The sequence below is a fragment of the Homo sapiens genome, chromosome Y (genome assembly GCF_000001405.40).
Source record: "Homo sapiens chromosome Y, GRCh38.p14 Primary Assembly".
Lineage (NCBI taxonomy): Eukaryota > Metazoa > Chordata > Mammalia > Primates > Hominidae > Homo > Homo sapiens.
In genome coordinates this window covers 14,822,428-14,849,464 of record NC_000024.10, presented here as the reverse complement: position 1 = coordinate 14,849,464, position 27,037 = coordinate 14,822,428, and the positions used below count along the sequence as shown (strand labels likewise).

Sequence of the window (27,037 nt, the reverse complement as noted above, 5' to 3'; positions counted from 1 at the left end):
AATGACAACATTAAACCAAAGTAGTTGGGTTTAGAGGTGGGGATCTGTCCTGGGTCCGCTGCTGAATGTTCTTCTAATGGTATTTGAGGACAGAGGAAGGAGATTCTGAAGCAGTCAGATAGGGAGATAACAGATTCTCCAATTGCCCAAGTCTGGAGAAAAGGGGTTTTTCCTGTGGTGTGACGGGGATGACAAAATTCATTGGGGATAGTGGGATGATAAAAATAGCCACATATTTCACAAAGTGTGTGCACTAGTCACACAAGTTAAGCAGATCATGGACATCATTGGCTAGGAGCAGGTGTCCTGGGGTTTCAGCAAAGAGTGCTGCTTTTGAAAGCCAGTCCTAGTTAATGCATTTTGGTGTACATTCTGTAGCAATCCAAGCCTGCCTTCTTCTATGCTAAGCATTATTCACAATGTTTCCATGCGCCTGTATCTTCTTTGTATTCTCTAACCTTAATTTTTCAAGTTCCATGCAGTCCATGTGCATTCAGGTGAGATGCAAGCAAAACCAGGGTTTTAAAGTGCCATTTCAGCCAAAAAATGAGCACAAAGCAAAATAAGCACAAGTAAAATAAAATCATAGGCAAAACTGAGAAACTGTTTTAAATGGGCACTCTACAAGATTCTATAAGCACTCTCAACCTTCTCTGTGTTTATGTGTGTGTGTGTGTTTGTGTGTGTGTACATGACAAGTTTTTAAGATATAAAGCTATCAATGTTCTCTACAAACAGATTATAGTGATTTTTTTCTTCCCCAAAATGTCTACAGGGAGGCATATATTTCTGCAATAACCAGGTTTTTTAGAGAATAGTTGACAAGCACATGCTCTTAAAAACAAAACAATATGATTGTGAACGCTATAAATTTTATGTTCTAAGTCTGCAACCTTGAGCAATTTATTTAATTTTCTGTACCCCAGTTTCCTCATCTGTAAAATGAGAGTCTGCACCCTGGAACTAGTAAAAGGATTAAATGACTTAATGCATATAACTTACGCAGAACAATACATTTTGATGATTATCTGAAAGTTTTAAAACTTGAAACAAGTGATTGCTCTGTAAATGGTTGAATCAATGCTTTTACAAAATCTCTTAAACATTTATTTGAAAAGTTTGTCTGTAGGTAATGCATATACTTATAAATTGTTATGTGCTTTTCTATTATTATAATCTAAAAACTGTAATTGCTCTTTAAATACTAGAAATAACATCCAATAACCCAGGCAGGCCAAGCATGTTAGTTTGAAAGCTGTGATCATAACGTATATACTTGTAGAAACAGGTGTTGCATAAAAATGAAGCTAACATCTGAGCCCACAAGAAACCAGTTTGACCAATTGTACCACTGAAGCGTAATAGTGGCTCTAATATTATAAATTGGGCACCATCTGATTTCTCAGTTTTTACAGGAGTTGTTAGGTTTATATTTTGGTGTGCCAGAAATGCATCTTCCCACTTCCTTTCTGCTGAGTCCAAGTTCTTGTGTTTAGGGCCCGGGGGTGAGAAAGATTTTTCTTTTTTGTAACCTTCCAGCTATGGCTGTTGGCAATTTGTCTTAGTCTCCAAGGACTCCCTCTCCGGCCCTTTTAGGAATCAGTGACTTTGAGAACTAGTTGGAACATTCCACTTTAATGAATGTCACCTGTTAATTTCAGGCAGGGTTTTCTCCTGGCTAATTTTTCTCATTTTTTTTTTTCTAATTCTTTTGCCAGTAGAGGAAACCAGATTATTTGTGGGTGTTCTAAGAATTTACATGTATGATCATTTTAGAGAAAGGTAGAGGTACAGTGGACCTTTTTTATATCTCAATTTCTTTCAATATATTAATAAGATTTTGCAGAGAAAGTATCACTTTTACTTCCTTAGCATAACTTTTTTTTTTTTTGAACCAGGTGGCCTAGGAGATGTGACATATGCATATATTTCCTGGAAGTTCTGAGAAACAACAAAAAACAGCCCTTATATCTGGCTGCTAGAATTAGCCTGATAATTAATTGCTAAGTCAAGGTGCATCTGGCTGCACATAAAAATAATTGAACGAACTTCCTCATTAGATGAAGGCAGCCCACGGCCAGCATGGGACAAGCCAGAAACATGAACAGTCTGGAAACACTGAAAATGACCCCAAATCCCCTTCTCTTCCACTGCTTATTTTTACTGAAGACAATGCTAGTCATTCTCTGGTCCTGTCACTTTCTTGCTAAAGGATATTGACATCCCCATTATCATGACAGTAACCAATGCAGGAACAAGTTTTTGGCCCTCTTAGCACTTATAAAACAACCCAGTCTAAGCCCAAACCCTTGACCAGCCTGTCTGAAACTCTCTCCAAGGTATCTCATCATTCTCCTCTCTCTGTTGAAACAAGTTCCTAAACAAAAGCTTAAGGACAAATGTGGTTCCAGGTGGTTTTTGATGACTACGCTTTATCAGTTCTGGTACATGCAGCTATAAGATGCATTTCTTATCGTTTTTTTTTTCTTTTTTACTTCTTGTCTTATTACGGTCTCCATCACCCTTAAAAAGAGGACAGTAATTAATTTCTGATTGCTCTGGCTCTTTAATGTTGTCCTTGCATCCAGAACCCTCTCATTCCAATGCAGATTATCCTCATGGTTACTTCTAAAGTGAACAGTTCTCCATCCTTTGCAACCTAAATAAGTTGGGGTTAATTGAGAATGAGCAACAAGTGCATCACTTAGAGATCGTCTTGGAAATTCAGACACAGGTTCACCAAACCACAATTCAGTAAGGATCTGTACTTTAAGTTGACATCCCGTGTATTCCTAAGCATGTGAACTTTTGAGAATTACTGCTAAATGTCTCAACTAAATACACTCATAATCCACTTTGGTGCAATCATTTGGTGTCTCTCAATTGACTTCAGGACAAAGCCCAAACTCCCTGTCTTGCAGTTGGAGGTTTTTTTATCAGCCAGTTCCTTTCTGTCTCATTTGTTGGAGGTTTTTTATCAGCCAATTTCTTTCTGTCTCATTTTTCACACCTTTCTAAAAAACACCTTATATTTTTCACCCATGATGCAGGAGCCATGTCTTCCTATGTCTTCGTCTGTCTTCTTACTTCAAAGATGTGTAATTCTATCCTCCCCACAACACACCACCCACTAGTATTTTTTCTACAGAGTTGGAAAGACCTGGCTTAGGGGTTTCTTCAGACAGAATGTATTCCTGATCTTCCCAGACTAGGTTAAGGGCAGTGTCCAGACATTTATTAGCACCCCTTATTAACATGGGTGCCATCTCCAGCACCCCTTGCCTCTCCTTGCTTCTGTGTTTCTCTGCCTTCCCCTCAAGTTTTGTGGTGTGAGAAGTTTGTTCTTCAATTTTAACACCAGCCCAGCACAGGGCCTGAGGCAGTGAAGATATTCAGTAAAGTTTCACTGAATGGATGCATATAATTTTTAGCATTCCTTGAGTTATTCAAAATGAACAAGAATGCATAAAATAGTCAAAACAAGAGTGATTCTCCCTCCAGCTGAAATTTGCTAAAAATTAGGCTTTGAATGCCTGAAGATGACATTCAGTTAAATGTGTGTGTGTGTGTATATATATATATATATATATGTATGTGTATACATGTTTATTTGTGTACATTTAATAAAAGTGCCATTCTTAGAGATTTAAGTACATTCATATCTGCGAATATGTCTATATATGTAAATTATGTATGTGTATATATGCATCTGTGTCTATATGTAAGTATATAGTGTAACGCTCCTTTTCCAAAAAGAATGCATTCCAAGACTCCCAGTGGATACCTGAAACCACAGATAGTACCAAACCCTTTATATACTATATATTTTATTAAATATACACACTTATTATGAAGCTTAATTTATAAAGTAGATGGAGTAAGAGATGAACAATAGCTAATAAAATAGAACAATTATAATGTCATAAATGTTATGTGAATGTGGTTTCTTTCAAAATATCTTATTGAAGTACTCATATATTTTTAGATCATAGTTGATCACAGTAAATGAAACTGCAGAATGTGATTTCACAGATAAAAAGCAGTAATGTAATACACACACACACACAGAGGAATGTATATGTGAGCACAAATGTGTTATAGATTTGTGTGTATATATGAGTCTGTGTGTGTTTATGAGTGTGTGTGCATATGTATTTAATGAAAATGACATCTTCAGGAATTTAAAGTATGTGATATCCATGTACATATGTAAATGTATAACATATATATGCATATATGCATGTGTGCATATACAGTATATATAATGTAAACATACACAGTCATGTATCAATAGGTTTCTGAGAAAAGTTTCGTTAGGCAATTTCATCATTGTGCAAACATCATGTAGTATACTTACACAAAACCGATGTGTAGCCTATAGCACACCTAGGCTCTATGGTATAGCCTAGTTCTTCCAGTCTACAAACCTGTACAGCATGTGACTGGAGAGAAGACCTTAGGCAACTGTAACACAATGATAAGCATTTGTTTGTCTAAACATATCTGAACACTGAAAAGGTACAATAAAAACATGGTATTTTAATCTCAAGACACTATCATCATATATGTGATCTATATTTGTCCAAAACATTATGCAGTCTGTGACTCTATACATACATACATATATAGGATAGGTACATGTATACTCATATATAATGTACACATACATGTACATATATACATATATGCATATGTGTGTGTATGTATTCTCCTGTGTGCCTTCACAACATGATTGAGGCCAACAACATCTGAAGGATTTAGTTCACATATTCCAAAGAGTCTGGGTCCTTGCTATATTTCTTTACTTGCTACTTAGCAAAGATTATCATGCAAGACCTTGACTTACAAGTGTTTGCTGTATAACTTCTTGGTGAAAGATTGGGATATGAGGATATGCTATCCTGTTATCCATCAAATTTTCCTGTCCAAGGGGGCATGTTTCAAAGTCAGAACATCTTCCATTATGAAAGGGGAGTAATGCAGGTGCCTGCCCCTTAGAGCTACTGTGAATGTGAAATAAGTTCGTGATGGCTGAATGCACAGGAAGGAATTGACAATTGAGCTCCCATTGGAATGACAATGATTTTCTGCCTCTGGAGTTTCATTCAGTAGAATTTCTTACTGTCACTAGAAGGTTTACTCACCTAAGGCTTTCTATTTGAAACCATTAAGGCATCAGTTTGTTGAACACAAATCAAAACACAGAGACACAAGAATGAACAGTGGTAGAAATAACACAACCAAATACTCATTTTCAGGCAGTGTCATCTCAGGAGCTTCACCAAACAGGGCTTGGTTTTCCAAAATCAGGCCAGCAGAGCCTCCTCAACTGTGCAGCTGGCCAAAGCTAAAGAAACCATCCCATTACCAAATGTATTTATCCATTTGTAGCCTATGTGAGAGCTACCATGTAGCATTTACAAAGAAAAAGGCATTCAAAGAATGGCAAAAGTAAATAAAATATTCCACCTACCAAGAAAGAACAGATGCATAATTGTTTGTACAAAGCATTAGAAAATAGTGTGATATTTTATTATTAAAATGCTGCTGAAAAGTTTATACATATGTGTCTGGCCATATATATCTTCTGTCATTACTTAAGGCAAAAGAAAGAACAAAACCTCAAAATAATAACCTAAGGAACCATTAAACCCTGTGTGCCTCTGAAGATCAAGGAAAAGCCTAGGAAAGGATTTTTTCTTACTTGTTTCTCATTTTTTTCTTTTTTCTCGTTTTCTATAAATAGCAAGTATATTTTTCTCATGGAACTCTATGAAGATTCTATAACTTCTTTTCACGTAGAAATGAGATATCATGTAAGATGTACTAAATCACTTTTAATCATAATCCCCTGTAAAAGCTAAAGCTATTCATTTAACAGGAACTCTTCTTTTCCTTAAGATGTCACAAGACTGTCATGTTGTGGCACATATTGCTAGCAGGAGACAATTGGAAATATGAACAGATACTTGAATTCATATTATAGACAGACAAAACCAGCATGGATGCCACACATCAGTTCCTTTGCAGTTTCATGGAGAGCCTATTTGTGGTTGCTCAGGTGGGGTCATACATTGCTTGCAGAAATTGCCTGATTATAGATCTATGAAAAATGAATTGGGAATGAAATCTTTCCAAGACACCTCTGTGTAGCAAAGAAATGTTGCTTCATGTGTGCTAAGTTCAGATCATAATATTTCACATATTTATATATAGAGAATTGCTTTCAAATTTAACCCAACATAAGCAACAGGATTTGGAAGTGATTTTATGTATTTCTAAAAACAGTTTTCTTTTTTCTAGAGGTCACTCCCAAACACTGATATATCACTATAGTTTGAGTGTATGGATTCAGTAATCAAAGTTGTTATTGCAAAAGAGTCAGGTAGCTGGACAATTTTTATGGGGAATCCCCACTTTAGTAGAGGCATTTAACATTGGATTTCTAGAATAACCCACAATGCAGCTAAGGGACATGATCTTCAAACATCTTTGGCTACTGTTTCTTGGTAATGCAGTAATCTTTGAAAGACAAAATATAGAGCAACCATTGCTACTGTGTTTCCTTCTGCCTTGTAATACTACAAACTTTCCTGAAAATGAGTAATAAGAAAACCACAAGCTGTTGGAGAGACAAATCTCTGATCCCCAAGTAACCAATTTAAAATGGGTGAATAAATTCCATTCAGTGTCTTGTCAGTGAAGATATCCTAATTTCCCCAAAAACCTATGCAAAGCAGTTTTAATATTCTATCCTTTTTCCCCCATTCTTCTTAATATTTATTATTTGGTGATCAGATAAATCCACAAAAGGTGATATTTTCAGACAAGCATATGTTTTATCCTATAAATGACATAAAAGATTTTTAAAAACCTGTTTACTGATACATAAGGGACTAGGTGCTTAAACAAAAGACATACATGTCTTCCTTTAATCTGATTAGCTAAGCTGAGCAGGTACTTCATCAGCCAAATCCTCCGGCAGCTGCTAGGGAACACAGAGCTGTATTTACTCCAAGGGGCATAGCCCCACCAAAGGCAAGCTTTCTTCTTTTTTGGCAGGGTCCTGAAATAGGAAGCAACTCTTCCCAAATATATTCAAAGGGCAAGAACTACAGAACAGGACTTGTATTTTGTTTTCTCTGCTGATTCTTTGTGTGTGTCTGTGTGTGTGTGTCTAATTCAACAAGTTTTAAATACATTCCACTTTTAGGACCTATCTCTGTGTTGCAATTTCATGAAAACTAACATGTACAAATCAAAGTTTTCTAAAACAATGGTCTCCTAAGAATGCTCTACATGCATCTGTGCAACCTGACAGGGAGAAATAGGCCACACAAAACTTCTGAGTCTTCCATTTGACATCACATATTCCTACAAATGAAAATCTTACGTCAGAAAATCCCATGTCTTTGTTTACATGTAATTAAGAAGAAAAGCCTCTTTTGCTGTAGAGGAACTAAGGTGGTAGGACTAATATGTGTTTGAAAGCACAACCTTGCTAAAAGTTCTTTCAAACTGAAAACACAAATAAAAGCTTTTCTCTTTTTTGTTTGTCTGCAGTTTTTGTTTGAGCTCACAGCTATATACATTTTTATTTTTTACAAAGTTTCTTAAATATAGTTCAGGCTGGCAGAATACCTCCTTCCACAGAACCCTACAATTTTTCTGCACAGTCAATTCGCTTACTTTGATAATAAAATTCTGCATTTCCTTCTTTCTGGATTACTGCTTCATGTGCTGTGTAAAAGCCTATAGAGTCTTTCTTCACTTAAGAAGAGCCATCCATTGTGTAGCCCACATAAAAATGTTTAAATTTCCATTGTAATTAAAAAATATTAAGTGTCCCTGGCTGAGCTTTGGAAGTGTGTGCTGCTACCATGATGTTGGAAACACACAGTTCCTTGAAATGGTGATGTCCTAGTCACACGAAACATCTGTTGGCATGGTTTAGATCTTAAAGCAGTATTGTAACAGAAACATATACTTTTCACATTTCATATGGTCAGAAATTGATCTCACAATACTGGAAAATGCCAATGAGAAGGGTCTGCTGGGACAGGATGACTGCCCTTTTGCATTTTTATCTAAAGTCAGTGGCACAAAAACATTCCTGGTTTGGAGATTTTCTTTCTCCTTATTTGTCTCTTTTACATTGCTGAGCAGTAGGGGCAGAGGGATAGGAGGGGAAATAGGGAAAAGCTATACTCTAGTGGTGGAATGTCCGTGGGGTAAATTTGTACTGTTTTGTCCTCCACTGAAGGTTTTAAAAGTGTGTAAAGGCTGCATCCCCATCAATGTGTTTGGAATCATGGTGATGGTGTTTGGCGTCATAAATGGGATGTCATCCGGCGACCGGCGCAGCGTGAGGGTGTAGTCTGGAGGGCAGGTGAGCCTCAGCGTGTCGTGTGCCTGCAGCGACTCACACTCGTGATCGTGTTCCAGCTGCTTCATCTGCAGAGACATGATCTCTTCGTTCTGGATGTGAGTGATATCATTTGTGGTGTTTCTCTGGGGACTGGGGTGCCTGTGAGTCTCATGGCGCCTCTTGTCCTTTTTGTAGTACAGCGCCGCAAAGGCTAAGATGTTGAGGAAGAGGAGCGACGCCCCGACGGCAATGGTGACACTTAATTCGGTGGAATAATCTCGTTTGGTTTCAATGAGGACAGTTGTGTCCTCGGGCCCTGTTTTGTGAGGGTCCTTAGAGTGTTTGGGATTGTTGGCAGGAGTGATTGCTGGGCGTTTGGTGGTTGGCCATATCTTGGCGGGAGATCGCCGGGTGCCATAGGGAAATGATGTCATGTCTGGTGGAGGAACCTTTGTGGTTGTTGAAACATACTGGAATATCTCGTTCAAGTTGTGCAAATGAGGAACCAATTCCAACCAGAAAGCCACTTTCGTTGCCCGGTAGTGATCTCTCACTCTGGGTTTCAAGCCAATATGCAGATAGAGCTGGTCTTTGGGATTATACTTGGACCAGGCCACTTCTTCAAAGCGATTGGGTTTTGTATGAATGAACTTGGTATCCTGAGGAACTGGTTGGTTTGGATCACTGGGGATAGAAGGAAGAAAAAAAGAAAGGTCATATTCTTCCACATGTGATATGAAATTATCTTAAACCAATAAATCAGGAAGTTACAATCTGCTCTTCATATATATTTATCAATGAGCACAAAATACCCAAGCAGCAAAGGTACATTCTGCTTTCATCCTAGGCATGTCTATCATGTTGTCTTTTCCTTTAAAAATTGCTCTTATTTTTCTTTTAAATATAAATCCTGACAGCATCATTATTCAATTTTTATAACATGTTTACTATTTTTTAATGCATCAAATGATCTTCAAAAATAAAGGAAAACTAAGTGTCTCTGGGAAAAATTTCAGTATTTCAAGTTTCACTGTTTCTGAACTGCAAAACTCATCCAGGAGTGATTTGCCCCAGAGGGGTATTTGGGAAGGTCTGGAGACATTTTTGGTTTTTGTAGACAGAGGGCAGTTCCTATGAAGGGTGGAGGTTAGGGATGCTACTAAACACCCTCTGGTGCACTGGAGAGACCCCCACAGCAAAGAAGTTATCTGGACCCAAATGTTAACAGTACTCAGGCTGAGAAATTCTGATTAAGAATTTTTCAACAAGTGGGCATTCTCTTTCTTACTCAATAATTGCATTTGAAGTAAATGAACAGATATTGCAGTTACAGCAATGAAAATTGATATTAACACTCAAAATAAAATAGGATTTATAATTAAAAGCTGCAAGTCAACACATGCATCATTTGTTTGCTCTCTATTTGAAAGTGAAATACATACACACGTGGACAATTTTTGAAGACAGAGTCCAGAAAAGATGAAAGCACATTACAGCAGCTGTAAGAAGTTTGTTAAAATGGTACATATATTTACGCCAAGGTTAACATATTTAGTATAAATAAGACACCCAGAAACAAGCTGAGGGCTGCTGCAGATGCTAAATTGTGCTTGGAAGCTATACACTGAAGAATTATCTTATTATTATTTGCACAAGTGGGCAGAGGTAGAAGGAGAATCATAAAAATTTGGAGATAATTCATAAAGCATAGAGCCTTTAAACATCTTTGCAACTAACCCTTTTAAGATAACACTTCCCCTTCAAAAAACAAATATACCAAATTCTCATTTCTACCTTTCCTTATGGTTGATAAAGTAAGCTATAAAACCAATTACATCTTAAGGTTTAATTGTTACAAAAAATTGAGATTGTGCATGGTAAAATGTCATCTAATGGTTAGTACTCAGCATTGAGATGTAATGTGCAGACCCAGGCAGGCAGGGAGTTGCAACATCCTGATCAATGGTTCCAGGTGTAATCTAAAGTCCATCCTCCAGGTAACTCCTCCTTAGGGGGACTTTTGTGAAGTTGCCTCCAACCATTGCATATTGACCTGTATGGCAGAAGGCTACAGGACCAAGGAAGAGCATATGTCTAGTCATTGTCAGATATTGTGCAGGATTTGAACAATATACTTGACTCAGAGATGCCACATGTGATAAAGGAAGATTTTCTCCCCTCAATCTGAGTCTGTGGTGGTCGTAAAGGAAATAATGTCCCTGTATTCAAATTTCTGAAGCTCTGGCTCATTAACAGCTGTGAAATATTGAGCAAATTTTCCAGCCACTGTTGGCCTTAACTTACCCATCTACATAGAGAATAAGAATATCAGGCTTGGAGACACGTGATGAAGGTTGAAAGATAATGACAAAATGTCTGACATATGGTAAGAATTCAGGAAATATTATCCCTTCTCTTCCAATATAAAAATTAGAACACCTACAATATTGCAAGGGAGGGGGAACTAGGGAGTGATGGAGTGATATACTGTGTATCATAGTACATACTATAATTCTATATTATGTACATTATAGAGTATATAATGGTATACTGTATATTACATACTATATATAAGTATACTGTGTACCAGAGTTTATACTGTATACTAACCATATACTATATGCAGTATATATATGTATGTATAACATATGTACATATGTGTACATGTATATCTATCTATAGATACAGATATAAGATGTATAATGTAATAGAGAAGAAAAAGAATGTTGACCTCTACCTTTTACTTGAATGCACACTAACTGCCGTGCTTTCACGTTACTAAGAGGGTGAAAACAAATATATATATAAAATCACATAAGTTTGAATACCATGAGATCTCATATTTATTCATAAAAAATATATTTGAAAAGTCTACTGCTTTTTATTTGTTATGCATACATTTTGATACGGCTTTGAAAAAACACTGGATTCATTTTATCATCTCATGTTTCTTTTGCTTCTTTAAGCCTTCTGAAATAATTATAAAATTTTTACTTAATGTGTGTTGAAAGAAAAATAAATGAATAAATATTTTAGGAAAAACTTCGTACTAATATTTGTTATTAATTTTTAGTGTTCTAAAGAAACAAATGGAAGTGAAGATTCCTCGTTTTTTTCATGGATCCAATTTTTCTAAATTGGGTCTATTAGATGTGTGGCTATCTCATCTACTAAGCAGTGAGAATCTAGGAAAAGGAGTATTCTGTTCATGTTGACTATTAGGCAATTTTTGAAGGATTCAGGGTATATTCGAAAGGTAAAGAAAAAACATTTATTCTGTTCTTTAAAAAATAAATAAAAAACATGTATTCTTGAAGAATAAAGGAGAGGATTTGGGAAATCCAGATAAGTGAGCTGCTGCCCGATGTAATCTGTCTATTAAAGATCTCAGGGATGCATAGCCAGAATTCTTAAGCACTGATAAGCTTGTGGAGATTATGACAGCCCACGTCATTCTCCCTTACCAAACCCTGCAGACAGTGAGGTCTAGATGTGTGATATCAGTGTTTTATTTTTTTAGTTTTTATTCAGCATAAGAAATGTTTAAATTCCTGTGAGTAAAATTAAAGATTGTAATGACTGAGGATAGAAACACTAGTTGGTGTCTCTAGTAAAAGACTCAATGCCTGTCTTCCTCCTTATCCCCTAGCACCTAACACAGCCATTTCCACCTGTTCTATTTGAGATGTAATCTTGGCAGGAGAGACTCAAGTGCATTTCTAAGGTCTTGTTCATTTCTTTAGCTAGAGATGGATATAGTACTATGATCTCTCTAAAAATATCCATGAACACTCTCAGCTGTTCCTTTAAGTAGTACAGGTTTTCCTTATATCCAAAACATTGTTAGCAAACTAGTTTATTATACATTCAGTGACTCCTCCACCACACCAGGGGAGGATGTTCATTCATTCAGCTTAAAATCCCTTTTTGGTACTAAAGGTCACCTTTACAACTAGAATTATGCTGCAACTCTCTGTAACCAATCCCTGCTAAACACTTCATTGGGACTTCTTTTTTCCTCAACAGATTTAGCAATGGTTGAATATAAATTATCGATAGAATAGAGAACATTCAACAGCAGTGATGGTGTCTGATGCAAAAAAGATAGAAATCAATCTGATGTACAAGCCTCAGACTCAGTGCAACAACATAAAAAATGAAAATACATGTTGATCTGATTTTCCATTACAAAACTCTTTTCCCATTTCTGACTTCCAATAGCACACAACTTCTTCTATTACATATTATAATGTATTGTTTGATTACTTTAAAGCACTGCTCTTTGTCATATCTTATAAAAAGACCAAGATTTGGCTGGGCGCAGTGGCTCAAGCCTATAATCCCAGCACTTAGAGAGGCTGGGGTGCACAGATCATGAGGTCAGAAGTTTGAGACCAGGACAACATGGTGAAACCCTGTTTCTACTAAAAATAAAATTAGCTGGGTACACTGATGGGAGCTTGTAATCCCAGCTACTTGGGATGCTGAGACAGGATAATTGCTTGAACCCAGAGGCGGAGGTTGCAGTGAGCTGATATCACATGAGATCGCACCACCACACTCCAGCCTGTGTGACACAGAAAGACTCTGTCTCGGAAGAAAAAAAAAAAAAAGACCAAGGTTCCCCCACTCCTTTTTGCCGATCTCTTTCCACATAGAGCTCAAAATGAGAGAATCCTGGATCAATGGGCACCTGCATTTTATTGATCAGCTTAGACAAACCCCTTTTCTCCTATTTCCCAAATAATTTTAGAGGAAAATAAGTTTAATTCTCTAGAGCCCCTTTCAAACCTCAGAGTTAGTTTTCACTTTTGCTTGATGGTGCTTCTCATTTACAAAAATGGTTTTAATCTACCTTATTTCTACAATGGCTTTGCATGTTTGGGCTTACTCAGTTCTCTTCAAGCATGATTTTAGTCCCGTGACCTGGACTAACATTGAAACACCTCCTTGCTACAGGGGAGAATCCCCCTCAGGCACAGGCCTGGGCACTTGCTTCCCTATTCAAAATAATAATTAAAAAATAGCAAGGATTATTTGAGGCCCTGACATTCACTGATTTCAACATCCTGTCTTGATCAAGGCTTTCATGGTTTAGAGCTTCTGCAGCAACTTTCTTCTCATTTCTACTGTGTGTGCTTGCTGAATCTGCCTTTCTAAGATGGGAGGGCCCTCTTACCTAATATTAACATGAAAATATACAGGTGACATGATTTGTAAGCAAGGATCCAATTGTCCCTCCCTCCCTCCTTCTTTCCTTCCTCCCCTACTCCCTTCCCTCTTTTATCTCTCACCCTCCCTTTCCCTGTTTTTCTTCTTTCCCTTACCCATCCCTCCCTTCCCTCAATCCTTTCTTCCTCTCCTCCTCCATTCCCTCTTTTTTCTCCCTCTCTTCCTTCCTTCCTCTCTCCCTTCCTTCTTTTTTGTCTCCATCCATTTTTATCCTTGCCTCTCTCCCTAATCTCTCTTTCCTTCCTTCCTCTCTTCTTTCTTCCTCCTCCCTTCCTCTCTTTCTTTTCTCTCACTTTCTTTTCTTTGCTTCCTTCTTTTCTTCCTTCCTTCCTCCCTTCCTTCCTCCCTTCCTTCCTTTCACCTTCCTTCCCTTCTTACATCTTTCATTTCTCTTCTCCCTCTTCCCTCTTTCTTTCCTTACTTCCTCCCTTCCTTTACTCCTTTCTTGATTCCCTCCCTTCCTTCTTCCTTCCTTCTTTCCCTCCCTTCCTCTCTCTCTCTTCTTTCCCTCCCACCCCTCCTCCCTCCTTCCTCCCTCCTTCCCTTCTTTCCTTCATCACAACTCTCCTTCCTTCAGTCCCTTCATCCTCCCTTCCTAATTTTTCCTGACATGCACATTCCAACATCATTTTTCTGTGATCATCCAAATTCCAAAGGTATATGCATACCAGGTATATGTACTTTTAAACTCATAGTAAGAATCAGAACCATCTGCTTTGAGATGTCTGTAAAGAAGCATCCAGGCACCATCCACTTCATCTCCACAAACATTTGTCATCAGGAGACTGTGCTATGCCTGCAGGTTTAAAACACATGACATGATGACCACTGAGAGTGGGGAAGTATGTCTTGGCACAATGTGATCCTCTCTCCACAGCACTGTGTACTGACAGACACGCTGGGAGCTATTCTTGTTTCCTCTTGTCACCTCCAGTGCTGGAAGGGAACAGTGAGGATATGCAGAAATACCCTCTCCTTTTCTGTGAGTCATTGTCTGAGTGTGTGCTCTGTAGAATGGTGTTAAACTTGCCAGGTCACACCATGACAGCAGATGAGATACATCCCATGTTTTCTCCTTACAGGTATCAGTTTCATTTGTTCTCTGCACCTGACGACCAGGGAATCTTTCTCTGCCCTGGAGGGATCAGGCCACCATCCAGTTTACAATAAGCAAATAACTAGCAACAGTGAAATTCCTCATTTCTTTCTCTTATAGGGCTGCCAAACAAGTGTGATCACTTAAAACATTTATATTTGAATCCACATCATGCATTTCACATGACATGTAAGTTCTGAGTAACTTCCTTGATGAATCATTTGAGTCATTCTAATACATTTCTAATGAAACAAAAGAACTCACTGCATTAATACACTCTGTTATTTCAGGGATGTTTCCTATGGATGGAAGAAACAAAAATAGAGACTTCAGACAGACTGACATTCAGGCTCTCATTACCTCAGTGAACTCTCTATCTGAAGTTTTTAATTTGAGTAGCATCAGAGAATCTCTGCTCTGGTGGTTCTAGTGGTTTTTCCTTCCTCCTCTCTTCCGGTGATGTCAGGGCCTTCACAAAAGCTAGAAGCACCCTCAACACAGACCATAAATGGCAATGTGAATGTACTCCCTAAATGCAGGGTGGAAATCACAGGCTCTAAACCAGGTGACTTTAAGAAATAGATTCATGGCATTAAAAAGCACTCAGTAACAGAGAGATCACTGGTATTCTCACGGCTCTTTCAGACTTTCATGATATCTTGGTAAAAGCATCCATTTGATGCCAGTCATGATAATAGTCACCTCATAAAATGATTTAACTTCCTTTATCTTTTCGTATCTTTTTTTTTCTTTTTTTTTTTTTTTAATAGTGACATAGCCAGCCTCAGTATCATAGCCTTTGGGAGTCAGGAGGAGTTAATGAGAATTTAACAGCATTATTTAGATTTCACTATTGTTTTAATGGTTCTATAAAATATATGAAGACTGGTAGGTGGAGCCAAGATGGCTGCATAGGAACAGCTCCAGTCTACAGCTCCCAGCATGAGCGATGTAGAAGACGGGTGATTTCTGCATTTCCAACTGAGGTACCGGGTTCATCTCACTGGGGAGTGTCGGACAGTGGTCACAGGACAGTGGGTGCAGCGCACCAAGTGTGAGCTGAAGCAGGGCGAGGCATCGCCTCACCTGGGAAGTGCAAGGGGTCAGGGAATTCCCTTTCCTAGTCAAAGAAAGGGGTAACAGATGGCACCTGGGACATTGGATCACTCCCACCCTAATACTGAGTGTTGTGGGAAGTCAGGGACACCAAACGGAGGGACTGGCTGAAGCCATGGCAGAAGAACATGGATTCTGAAGATTTCATGGACATTTATTTGTTCCCCAAATTAATATTTTTATAATTTCTTATGCCTGCCTTTACTGCAATCTCTAAACATAAATTGTAAAGATTTCATGGGCACTTATCACTTCCCCAATCAATACGCTTGTGATTTCCTATGTTGTCTTTACTTTAATTTCTTAATCCTGTCAGCTGATGAGGATGTATGTTGCCTCAAGACCATGTAATAATTGCATTAACTGCACAAATTGTAGAACATGTGCGTTTAAACAATATGAAATCTGGGCACCTTGAAAAAAGAACAGGATAACAGCAATTGTTCAGGGAATAAGAGAGATAACCTTAAACTCTGACTGCCAGTGAGCCAGACGGAACAGAGCCATATTTCTCTTCTTTCAAAAGCAAATGGGAAAAATATTGCTGAATTCTTTTTCTCAGCAAGGAACATCCCTGGGAAAGAGAATACTCGCCTGGAAGTATAGGCCTATAAACAGCCCCCCTAGGTGAGCCCATCTCTTATGGTTGAGGCCGTAGGGGTGAAATAGACCCCAGTCTCCCATAGCGCTCCCAGGCTTATTAGGAAGAGGAAATTCCTGCCTAATAAATATTTGGTCAGACCAGTTGCTCTCAAAACCCTGTCTCCTGATAAGATGTTGTCAATGACAATGGTGCTCGAAACTTCATTAGCAATTTTAATTTCGCCCCGCTGCCGTGGTCCTGTGATCTCACCCTGCCTCCATTTGCCTTGTGATATTCCATTACCTTGTAAAGTACTTGATGTCTGTGACCCACACCTATTTGCACACTCCCTCCCCTTTTGAAAATCCCTAATAAAAACTTGCTGGTTTTTGCGGCTTGTGGGGCATCATTTGTTTTGTAGAGACAGACTCTCACTATGTTGCCCAGGGTTGTCTTAAACTCTTGACCTCCTTAGGCAGTCCTCCGGCCTTGGCCTCCCAAAGTGCTGGGGTTACAGGCATAAGCCACTCTGCCCGGCACAGCCATACAGATTTTGGCACTCTGGTAACAGCAGCCCAAGCTAACTAATAAACAAGGTTTACTTAGAAAAAAAATATGAATTTGATTTAAATCATTTCTTCATGCAGGAAAGAACCTTTCAGTGATAGACGAGCATCTCCAACAACTGTTGGTCCCTCCTCTGTTCTCCTCCTGGTAGCCATTCTCAGACCAAATCTACACAGTCTGATTTTGGAAAGTTGATATCCAGATGATACATTTTCCACTTCAAAAACATGCTAACATGCTATATGTTTGCCAAAAAAACCAACCAACCAAACAAACAAACAAAAATCGTGTCCTCTGATCTTATCAGAATTACTGTGTACAGCTCATGCGTGGCAGGGCCACTGCAGTCTGAGAGCCTCATTCCACATGGGAAGATTGACCCTCCCTGGGTGACATGCACATGTTGCTCTTCTATTCAGTTTAAAGAAACTCAGGGTGGATGATGGTGGCACACACAGGTAGAACAGAATGATACTCCATTGATTTCCATAGTTACATTATTAGACAGGAGAAAATTAAAAGATGCCACAATATTTGGACCTATTTAGGATGCTTTTGTTTCTTTTCTCCCATGGTTTGAAGAGAATCCACTCAGTAGAATATTGGCAGTCTCTGTTGTATGTGTGTTTTTTGTATATTTTCTACTATATTTAGGTCAATAAATGAGCTTTCCTGTGACATATGTGTGTGTATGTGTTTATATATGCATGACATATAACAATATAATATAAATATCATATATTTTTCTTTGCTCTCTATCTATTTATACAGCAAAGGAAATACAAATATATATGTATATGTACATAAATTTGTACTTGTATATATAGTATGTATATATTTGTAGTTGTTTGTATTTCTATATTATATATTGTATATGCATATATAGTATATATATATTACTATTTGTATATGTATATACACAGAAATATACTGGTATTTATGTGTATATATATACAAATGCAAATATATATATAATATATATATTATACATATGGGAATAGTTCTTTTCTCTCTATATATGTTAAATATATATAGGAATATTTATTTATATTTCTCTATAAATATTGTGACAATTGTTTGTATTCATATGGTCAGGCAATCTAAACAATTCCCCAAGTGGTAGCTCAGGTGACATAGCAAAATCCTGTTTCTAACAAAATAAATTTTAAAATTAGCTGGGTATGGTGGCATTCACCTGTAGTCCCAGCTATTCAGAAGGGTGAGGAGGGAGGATCCGTTGAGACCAGGAGTTTCAGAACAGCTTGGGCAACATAGGAAACCCTGTCTCTACAAAAATCCATGCAAGGGCATGGTGGTGCATGTCTGTAGTCCCAGCTGCTTGAGATGCTGAGATGTGAGGATCAAATAAATCCATGATTTCTAGGCCACCGTGAGCTATGCTTGCACCATTGCACTCCAGCCTAGACAACAGAGTGAGAACTTGTCTCTACAAAAAAATAAAAAAAATAAACATTAGCCAGCCATGGCAGTCACCTGTAATCCAAGCTACTCAGGAGGCTGAGGCAGGAGAATGGCTTGAGCCTAGGAGTTCAAGGCTGTAGTGTGCTATGTTGTATCACTGCACACCAGCCTGGACAGCAGAGTGAGACTGTGTCTCTTCAACAACAGTAAGAACAAAAACAAAAGTGATCAGCTGTTAACAAAACCATTATATATGTGTAAGTCCTGCACCTGCAAGTAGGAATTCTAGAATTTCTAATGGGCAATTAGAAATCTAGTAAAAATCTGGTTTGACACTAAAGTGTTTTAGGAGTAAAACACTTTGGTAATAAAGAAAATTTGAGTTCTCACAGATGATGGGGGAGAAGCTGCCTGTTATTGCTGTGTGTGTAAGCTTGTGTCTGTATGTGTATATGTGTGCATGCATGTGTGCTCCTGCACATGCCGGTAGAAGCAACACTTATACTGAGGAACCAAACAAGCGAAGAGGACAGTGATACCCCAACATGAAGAAGAACGTACCCAGTTTTGGCGAAGTTCGTCCAGTAGGTCATCACCACGGCACTGAGCATGACGTCGTTCTTGGAGAAATTACAACTGAAGAGCTCTGTGGGACCGATCATGGGGATGCCGAAGACATAGGGGACTTCATCGCCATGGGCCGAATCTGCCCAGCTGGGCTTCATTTCGCTTTGGCAGTGATGATAGAAGGCATAGAAGTAGGTGGGGGAGCCGTACTGCGCGTGCAGGTCGGCGGTGGCCACGGCGGGGGCCACCCACTGATGGTCAGTAAAGAGAGCCACCAGGGTTTTCCGCCGCGTCTCCGGGTTTTCCTTATCGGCCCAGTCTGTGTACATGAACTTGATAGTCTCCCGCAAAGTGTCTTTCCCTTCAGGGTAGCCGTAAAGGTTGTCCACGAAGTTGGACACGGAGAAGTCAAAGTCGTTGGGCGTCACACCGTCCTCGTTATCCACGATGCCGTCCACGAACTTCAGGCCTTCCCCTTGGTTGACGCCCAGCATGATGTCGTAGTTGAGGAACTCGCCTTGCTCCATCAGGATCTGGGGGTCGTCTGGGATGACGTCGCCGTCGATCACCGGCCCAAAGGCTATGTGGTAGGTGGCCGGGGTGATGGTCTGCTGGATGAGCTCCTTGTAGTTCTTGTTCTTCAGACATTCTACCATGTCCGTGGTGTCCAGCATGTTGCAGCCGACCTTGTCTGCCAATATCCGAGTGTACTTGGCCGGCTGGTAGTTCACTGCCCAGCTGGACAGGGCAGTGCCGCTCTGAATGATGGCCTTCTGGAAGAGACCTGCAGGTGCAAAATTGCGGACATGCAAATGAAAACCTGCAGGACAGAAACAGCTTTTACTGAGCAATGAAGGCTGTGATTGTTTCGCAAGCATGTGAATTTCTGGATGTAGTAGCATTCAGCTCTGTCAGAGGGCTCTTTTACCCATTTTCATTTTGATTCCCTCCCCCTGAACATTCATTTTAGGGAATGTTATTCTACACACACACACACACACACACGAGTTTAAGGAAATGAAACCACATTGAGGCTTTTCGTGCACTGGTAAAATACATGTGATTTCTTTTTTTCTTCCACAATTTAGTGTCATTTTTGCTTCCTTACCTTCAGATGCCATACATAAAAATGCAACAGCAACTACATTCCCATTTCCAAAGGGGAAAATAAACAAACAAAAAAACAGGCCTTAAACTAGTAAAAGATCAAAGGCTATCTTGTCTCACAAACAAATCCAGGTGTCTCTTCATTATGGGAAAAAATAAATCCAGTTGAATGAATTTCAGAGTGCTAATTTAGAAATGCATTTCTACCCTGCGTCTAATGAAGATATTACGGTTTGGGAATTAATGTAAATGCATTAGCTTAGCTATGCCTAATCCTCAACCAGGTACCCAACTAACAAGTATTTTTTGTCATTTTCTTCAAAACTATATCCACTGGTAACTCAGAGATTTTTTTGTTTTGTTTTGTTTTTGTTTTTGTTTTTTTTTTTATTTTTTTGCCACATAGGAAAAATTCTCCACTTGGTGAGAAACTTGAAAAAGCATGGGCAATTTTAGGAGTAAAATTCTGTATAGCTTAAAATTCTCCATCAGCTCAGTCTACTACATGAATGTCCAGAAGTATAAAATCTGTATTTTTAATCATAACAGGACAAGAGACGGCAGGCCGTAAAAATCACAGCATTCCATTTACGATCACTTCCTGACGTTTCTGTAAATCCCAGACTGAGTCAGGCACTAAAGAATAAAGCATTCAGCTGTAAGTCCAGATGCCGTGTTGATTTTTCATGTCATGGAAGCAATCAAATATGAGGAAAATGTGATTGTCATCAGGAAGATATGATTTTTAAAGACTAAAGGATTGCCCAAAGATGACACACAGGACTGCAACTTGAAACCAATATGGCTTTAACCATTATGTCAGCAAAGCCATCTTGGAAACATTTCTGTCAGAAATGTACAAGTATTGACTTGAGTACTTGGCTCTGAAGATTATTTTAAAATGTCCAAAAGAAAAAAATGTCAATATGTAATCTGTTGGATACTTTCATTAGTTAAAACATTCAGAATTAGATAAAAATGCTCTGAGATGTTCCTTTCCTACCCTTCTTATAACTACTGGCAATAATCTAGGTAGCAGCATATTTTTGTGTGTATATATATATATACTCACATATATATACACACACATATATATACACACACACATATATATACACACACACATATATATATACACACACACATATATATAAGTAACATATATAAAACAGTTATTTGTATGTTAGGAAAGTAATATAACTCCTGATGACACTAAAAAACTTGGATAATGAAAAAAAATCACCCATAAGTCAAACATTAAAGCAAAACTCACCTTAGCAAAATGAGTATGTTGGGAATTAACATAATTCTTTCTTACATCTTTCTCTTCCATTCAAACATTGTTTTGAATAGCTGAGCCCAATATTTATATAGTTGTCTACACTGCATTTTTCCAGCTGTTGAATATCTTAGGTAAATTATTATTCTTTTGAGTTATTGCATATGGTTTCTAATAACTTTCATCTCCTTTTGATCTTGTAGCTTTTCCATTTCATTCTTTGCTATGATAATAATACTGGGGTGAATATCTTCATAAAACTGTCTCTTTCCACAGGTACTTTGCCTTCATTAGACTAGAATTCCTAAGGCCAACAATTTGGGTATTTTTATCTTTATCTTTATTTCAGACAGAGTGTCTCTCTGCTACCCAGGCTGGAGTGCAGTGGCATGATCTTGGCTTGCTGCAGCCTCTGCCATCCAGGCCCAACTGATCCTCCCACTTCAACATCCCAAGTAGCTGGGACTACAGGTGTGCACCACCACACCTGGCTAATTTTTGTAATGTTTTGCAGAGATAAGGTTTTGCTTTGTTGCCCAGGTTGTTCTTGAATTCCTGGACTCAAGCAATCCTCACACCTCAGCCTCCCAAAGTACTGGGAGGATAGGCAGGAGCCACAGTGCCGGGCTCATATTTTTCAAAATTCTTGATAATACTGATGGGCTGTTTAGAAGCACTGCCTTGCATAAATGACCAACAAAAAGGTATTTTTGCAGCAAATAATAACTTCCAACCTGCTGACTTAAATAATTAACACTTTCCTCTAATTAGTGTGGCTTACATGTGTTTCATTACTCCTGAAGTTGGTTCTGACTGCTTTCTAAATCTACAACTGTCATATCAACTGAGAAATGTGAATATCTATGTATTTTCAAAAATGCCATAGAAATCTCTATGCCAAATGGTTCATCAGATTATTCATTGTTCCTGTTTTTAAAATAAAGTTACTACAAATATGAGCCTTTCCTCTTCCCTGTTATTAGCACTAGTTTGAGGTCAAAAGTCATTTGGTCTCCTGGGCAAAACATTATGAACTACGAACTCAAGGAATTCAGAGTTTGGAGGATTTTAGGAAATCCTCATCTGTCCTATCTTGCTAAAGAAGACACTGAGGAGCATAGTGATCTAGAAACTTGTTCAGATGGTGCAGGAAGTGAAGAAAGTCCTGCAGTTACTTTAAAGAAAGGTATTTTTTTAATTTTATTTCTTTATGTTTAGACAGGGTCTCTCTCTGCCACCCAGGGTGAAGTGCAGTGACACCTTCAGAGCTCACTGAAGACTTGACCTCCCTGGCTCAAGTGATCCTCCCTCCTCAGCCTCCCAAGCAACTGAGACCACAGGCGTCCACCACCAGCCCTGGCTTGTTTTTATTTATTTATTTTTGTATAAATGTGGTCTCACTAAGTTGCACAGGCTGGGCTCAAACTCCTGGGCTCAAGCCATACTCCCCACTCAGCTTCCCAAACTGCTGGGATAACAGGCATGAGCCACCTTACCCAGCTGATAACTTTAATAAATAACAATTCCAGAGGCTGAGGCAGGCGGATCACATCAGGTCAAGAAGTTTGAGACCAGCTTGGCCAATATGGTAAAAAACCATCTCTACTAAAAATAGAAAAATTAGCTGGGCATGGTGATGGTCACCTGTAAGCCCAGCTACTTGGGAAGCTGACGCAGGACAATCATTTTAAAACTGGGAGACAGAGGTTGACATGAGTGAAGATCATGATGCTGCACTCCTGCCTGAGTGACAGAGTGAGACTCCGTCTCAAAAAAAAAAAAAAAAAAAGAAAAGAAAGAAAAATTCCATTAAGATTTTGAGTACTTCAGATGTAAATGGTCCAGTCAGTGTGGTGCCATTCTGAAGCCTACCAATGACACAGAACATATCACAATGCTGTGTTGATGACTGAGATGGCTATTATGAATATTCATTTGTACCTGGCCAGGTAACAGAGGGCTGGATCTGTTCTGCAGATTTTCCTGCTTTCTCCTTTTAGGCCACAGCCAAGAATTGGTGATCCAGCTTCCAGAACCAATTGCCACAAATTCCTGTGGACTTCTCTTTGAAGTTTCATCTGATACTGCAGAGAGCCTCCCTCTTGCATTAGCATCAGGGAATTGCATTGAGTGAGCCTCAGGTGCTCTGGCAGGGCTCAGGGGTGTGGCTGTCTATGCTGACCACCACTTAGGCAGCATGAGCAATTACTACTTAGAGGCCCAAGTGCACATCTGGTTGGGTGTGGTTGCCTATGCTAACTACCACATACAAGTGCATGTCTGATTGAGGTAACATGATGTGAGTGTGTTTCTGCGGTTTCCCCTTCCCCTATTTTGCCAACAGCAGCTTTTTCCAGGTTATTAGCAGGGCCCCAGGGAGGGTTTGGAGCTCCCACGGGGACAAGTAGAGGATGTCATGCTGACTGGCCCAGCAGGGAGGTTCTTCCTAAAAGTGTGTTAGAGAGAGAGAGATAAAGGAAACTGTGGACACTTCCAAGTGCCTCATGCTGAACTGACCAGTAAGGTGGTCCTTTGCTGAAAGTCATGTTTGCAGGAGAGGAAGAAAGGGAAAGAGACAGAGGGAGAAAAAGGGAGACAGAGAGAAAGAAATAAAGGGAGAGAGACAGAGTGTGAAGGGGGGGAAGTGAGAGAGGAAGAGAGACAGTGAGGAAGAAACTGGGGAACTGGAGAGGGAGAGAGAGGAAGAGAGACAAAGAGAGAAGGGGAGAAAAGGAGAAAGAGGTGAGAGGATAGTGTGAGGGAGAGGGAGATCGAGGAGAGACAGTGGAAGGAGGGGAGAGAGGAAGGGCGAGAGACAGAGGAAAACAGAGAGAGAGACAGAGAGAAAGTGAGAGGACATAGAGAGGGAGAGACAGGAAGAGAGAGGGAAAGAGGAGAGTGAAAGGGGAAGAGAGAGAGGGAGGGAGACAGAGTCAGGGAGAGAGACACTATTCCTATGGGTAGAATCTACTTCTCTATGAATGCACCAGCCATGTTCCTAATGTTTCCAGAAGATTTAAAGAATTAATGTGAATTAGAGAAGTGTCTTTTAAAAAAACACGTGGTTAAAAGCCCAGTTGATTAAAAATCTATAAATCTGCAATATTGACATACTATTTCTCTTCCTTATTGACGTACTGTCTCTCTTCCATATTACTCTTACCAAATTGTAGCTAGAAGTTAATAAAATTTCAAATGTTCAAATACAGTGAGACTGTCAAAAGAAACAATAGTGTCCGCCCTTCTAAAGCAGTTATTTTTTTCCTATCATTGTAACCGACACCTAATTGTCACACACTTAAATGAGGAGATATTGCTAACCAAGCATGGTGGCTCAATTCTGTCACCTCAGCAGTTTGAGAGGCCAAGGGAGGAGGATCACTTGAGGCTAGGAGTTTGAGACCACCCTGAGCAAACATAGCAAGACCACTTCTCTATAAAAATAAAAATTAAAATTTAACCATTAGTCCCAGGTATTCAGCAGGTTGAGATTGGAGAAGGCTTAAGCTCAGGAGTTGGAGGCTGCAATGAGCTATGATCATGCCTCTGCACTCCAGCCTGAGTGACAGAGCAAATGGAAAAAAAGCTGAGTTAAAATATATGAAGATGGGTTCATTTTGTCTTTTGGGCATTTTCTGTTGCAATTTCCACAGTGACTTCTGGCAACCTGGACATGAATCTCAGCTATGAACTCTGACTATTCATTTCTTGGTTCAGGGCATTTGCCCACCCACCCCGGGGACACCATTATTACCTTCTGAGTAGTGGGACAGGGTCAACAGGCTGACACAGGAGGCCCCAGCCCCCGAGCCAAAGATAGTCACTCTCTTGGGGTCCCCGCCAAAGGCTCCGACATTCTCCTCAATCCACCTCAGTGCTTGAATCTGATCCAGGAGCCCATAGTTGCCTTTTGCTGCCTGGTCACCGGTACTTAAAAACCCTACAGAAGAACACAGGACATTTTTGTTGGTCAAAAAAATTGTGTACACATCCCCACCATTTGAAAAGTTATCTCATAGCTTGCCTTCTTCATTCTCTCTCTCCACAACCCTGTCCCCCACAAATTAGAGGAAAAACTGTAGAAAATTTTTTGTGGCAGAAATAATTACATAGATAATAGTTATTGTTTAGGTTGACATTATGATACCATGTCATCTTTAGGTATATATGGCTAATGTAGAAGGCAAAATAAATCTAAAATGTTAGTGGAAATTATAGGAAATTAGAGAAAAACCTGGAGAACAATTTTTGTGGCAGAAATAATTATACAAATAATGATTATTGTTTACATTCACCTTATGATACCATGTCATCTTTGGGTATATATGTGGCTAATGTAGAAGGAAAAATGCATCTACAGTGTTAGTGGAAATTACAGGAAATTAAAGAAAAAACTAGAGAAAAATTTTTGTGGCAGAAATAATTACATAAACAATGATTATTGTTAAGTTGACATTATGATACCTTGTCATCTTTGGGTATATATGTGGCTAATAGAAGACAAAATGAATCTAAAATATTAATAACATGAAGCAATCCCAGAAGTCATTGTAAATTTTACGAGGTTCAAGGTACCATTTGTGTGCACATTTTTCTTTAAACACAACAGACTCCTATGATAAATTACGTACTAAATGTCCCTTCAAATGAGTTAATGACGTAGATCTTCAAAAAAAGAAATTGTATGTAAGGAACAAATATTATAGTTGAGTATTTGGGGAAGGTTTCTTGCGTTGTTGTTTTTTACCATTTTCCTGTCCTTAGTTGAGCATTTCTCCCGAGCAAAGTCTGATGCCTTTTATGAACAACAGTGTCACATAAGGGAGGGGCTTGTTTGTATGATGACAGACTGCTTTAAGCCCTAAAATAACATAAATCCAAACCAACTACTTCAAAGCATATTCCTAACCAAAGTTGACAGCATTCCAATGAGAGACTGAGTGTTGGCTTCTACTTTTAAAACAAAAAGAGTAGAGGATGAGGCTGCATACCAGTAGAGTTAACCAGATTTTCTTCCATTAGGTTTCGTGAACAATTGGAAAAATGCTCTGAGCTGGAAAGGAGGAAATGGCCAGGCTTCAAAGAAAGTCATAAGATTTTTTTTTTCCTACAATGACAATAAATTCCAAGCCTAAATCAGGAGTCACCATTGCCTGCAGCTTCAAGGAGAGGCAGTATTGCAACTGTGAGGTTGGTCTTACTTAAGACACATCCTACCAATGTGATTTCTTTAAAGTTCAGAGAAACTTGATGTGAGATTAGCTGTGATTAGTGGGTATGTTCAGACATTACGCAAGCCCCCCACCATTTAATTAGTGATTACTAATTAGTGCTTTATGCCAAAAATGTTCTGCAACACCAGTCTCCATCACTAAATCTTTGACACGGTTTGTTCATAAAGAGCATCAGGCTTTGCCTGGGAGAAGAAATCCTTTCATTCAGGGTACATATGACAATGATGAATAATGTCAGTGTGGGTGCCCTCTAATACCACAGGGCAATGCTTTCGTCCCCTATTAAAGAGAGAGGTAATTAATTTTTAAGGCACGAGTAATTTTCTAACAGAATGATTCTGTCTTCAGCACATCTTTTCTTAACTCACTGTTCTCTCTTTCACAATTCTGCAGAATGATCTGTTGGCTTATTTTGTTTCTGCAGAGGATCGTGAAGATTTTCAACATGCTGTGAATCACTGGCCTT

General features: G+C 38.9%; 1 protein-coding gene across 22 annotated transcripts in view; it reads right to left on the bottom strand.

Annotated features, from left to right (window-relative positions):
- Positions 3,811 to 27,037, bottom strand: part of NLGN4Y (neuroligin 4 Y-linked) — a 323,039-nt gene continuing 299,812 nt past the window's right edge. For all 22 annotated transcript variants that reach the window (NM_001394830.1, NM_001365586.1, NM_001365591.1 and 19 more), the window contains 3 exons: positions 25,092 to 25,277; positions 18,946 to 19,735; positions 3,811 to 9,052 (listed from right to left, as the gene is read on the bottom strand). In NM_001394830.1, coding sequence (NP_001381759.1) covers positions 8,203 to 9,052; positions 18,946 to 19,735; positions 25,092 to 25,277 — 1,826 coding nt within the window. In that variant the 3' untranslated portion in view covers positions 3,811 to 8,202. The remainder of the gene's footprint in view (positions 9,053 to 18,945; positions 19,736 to 25,091; positions 25,278 to 27,037) is intronic.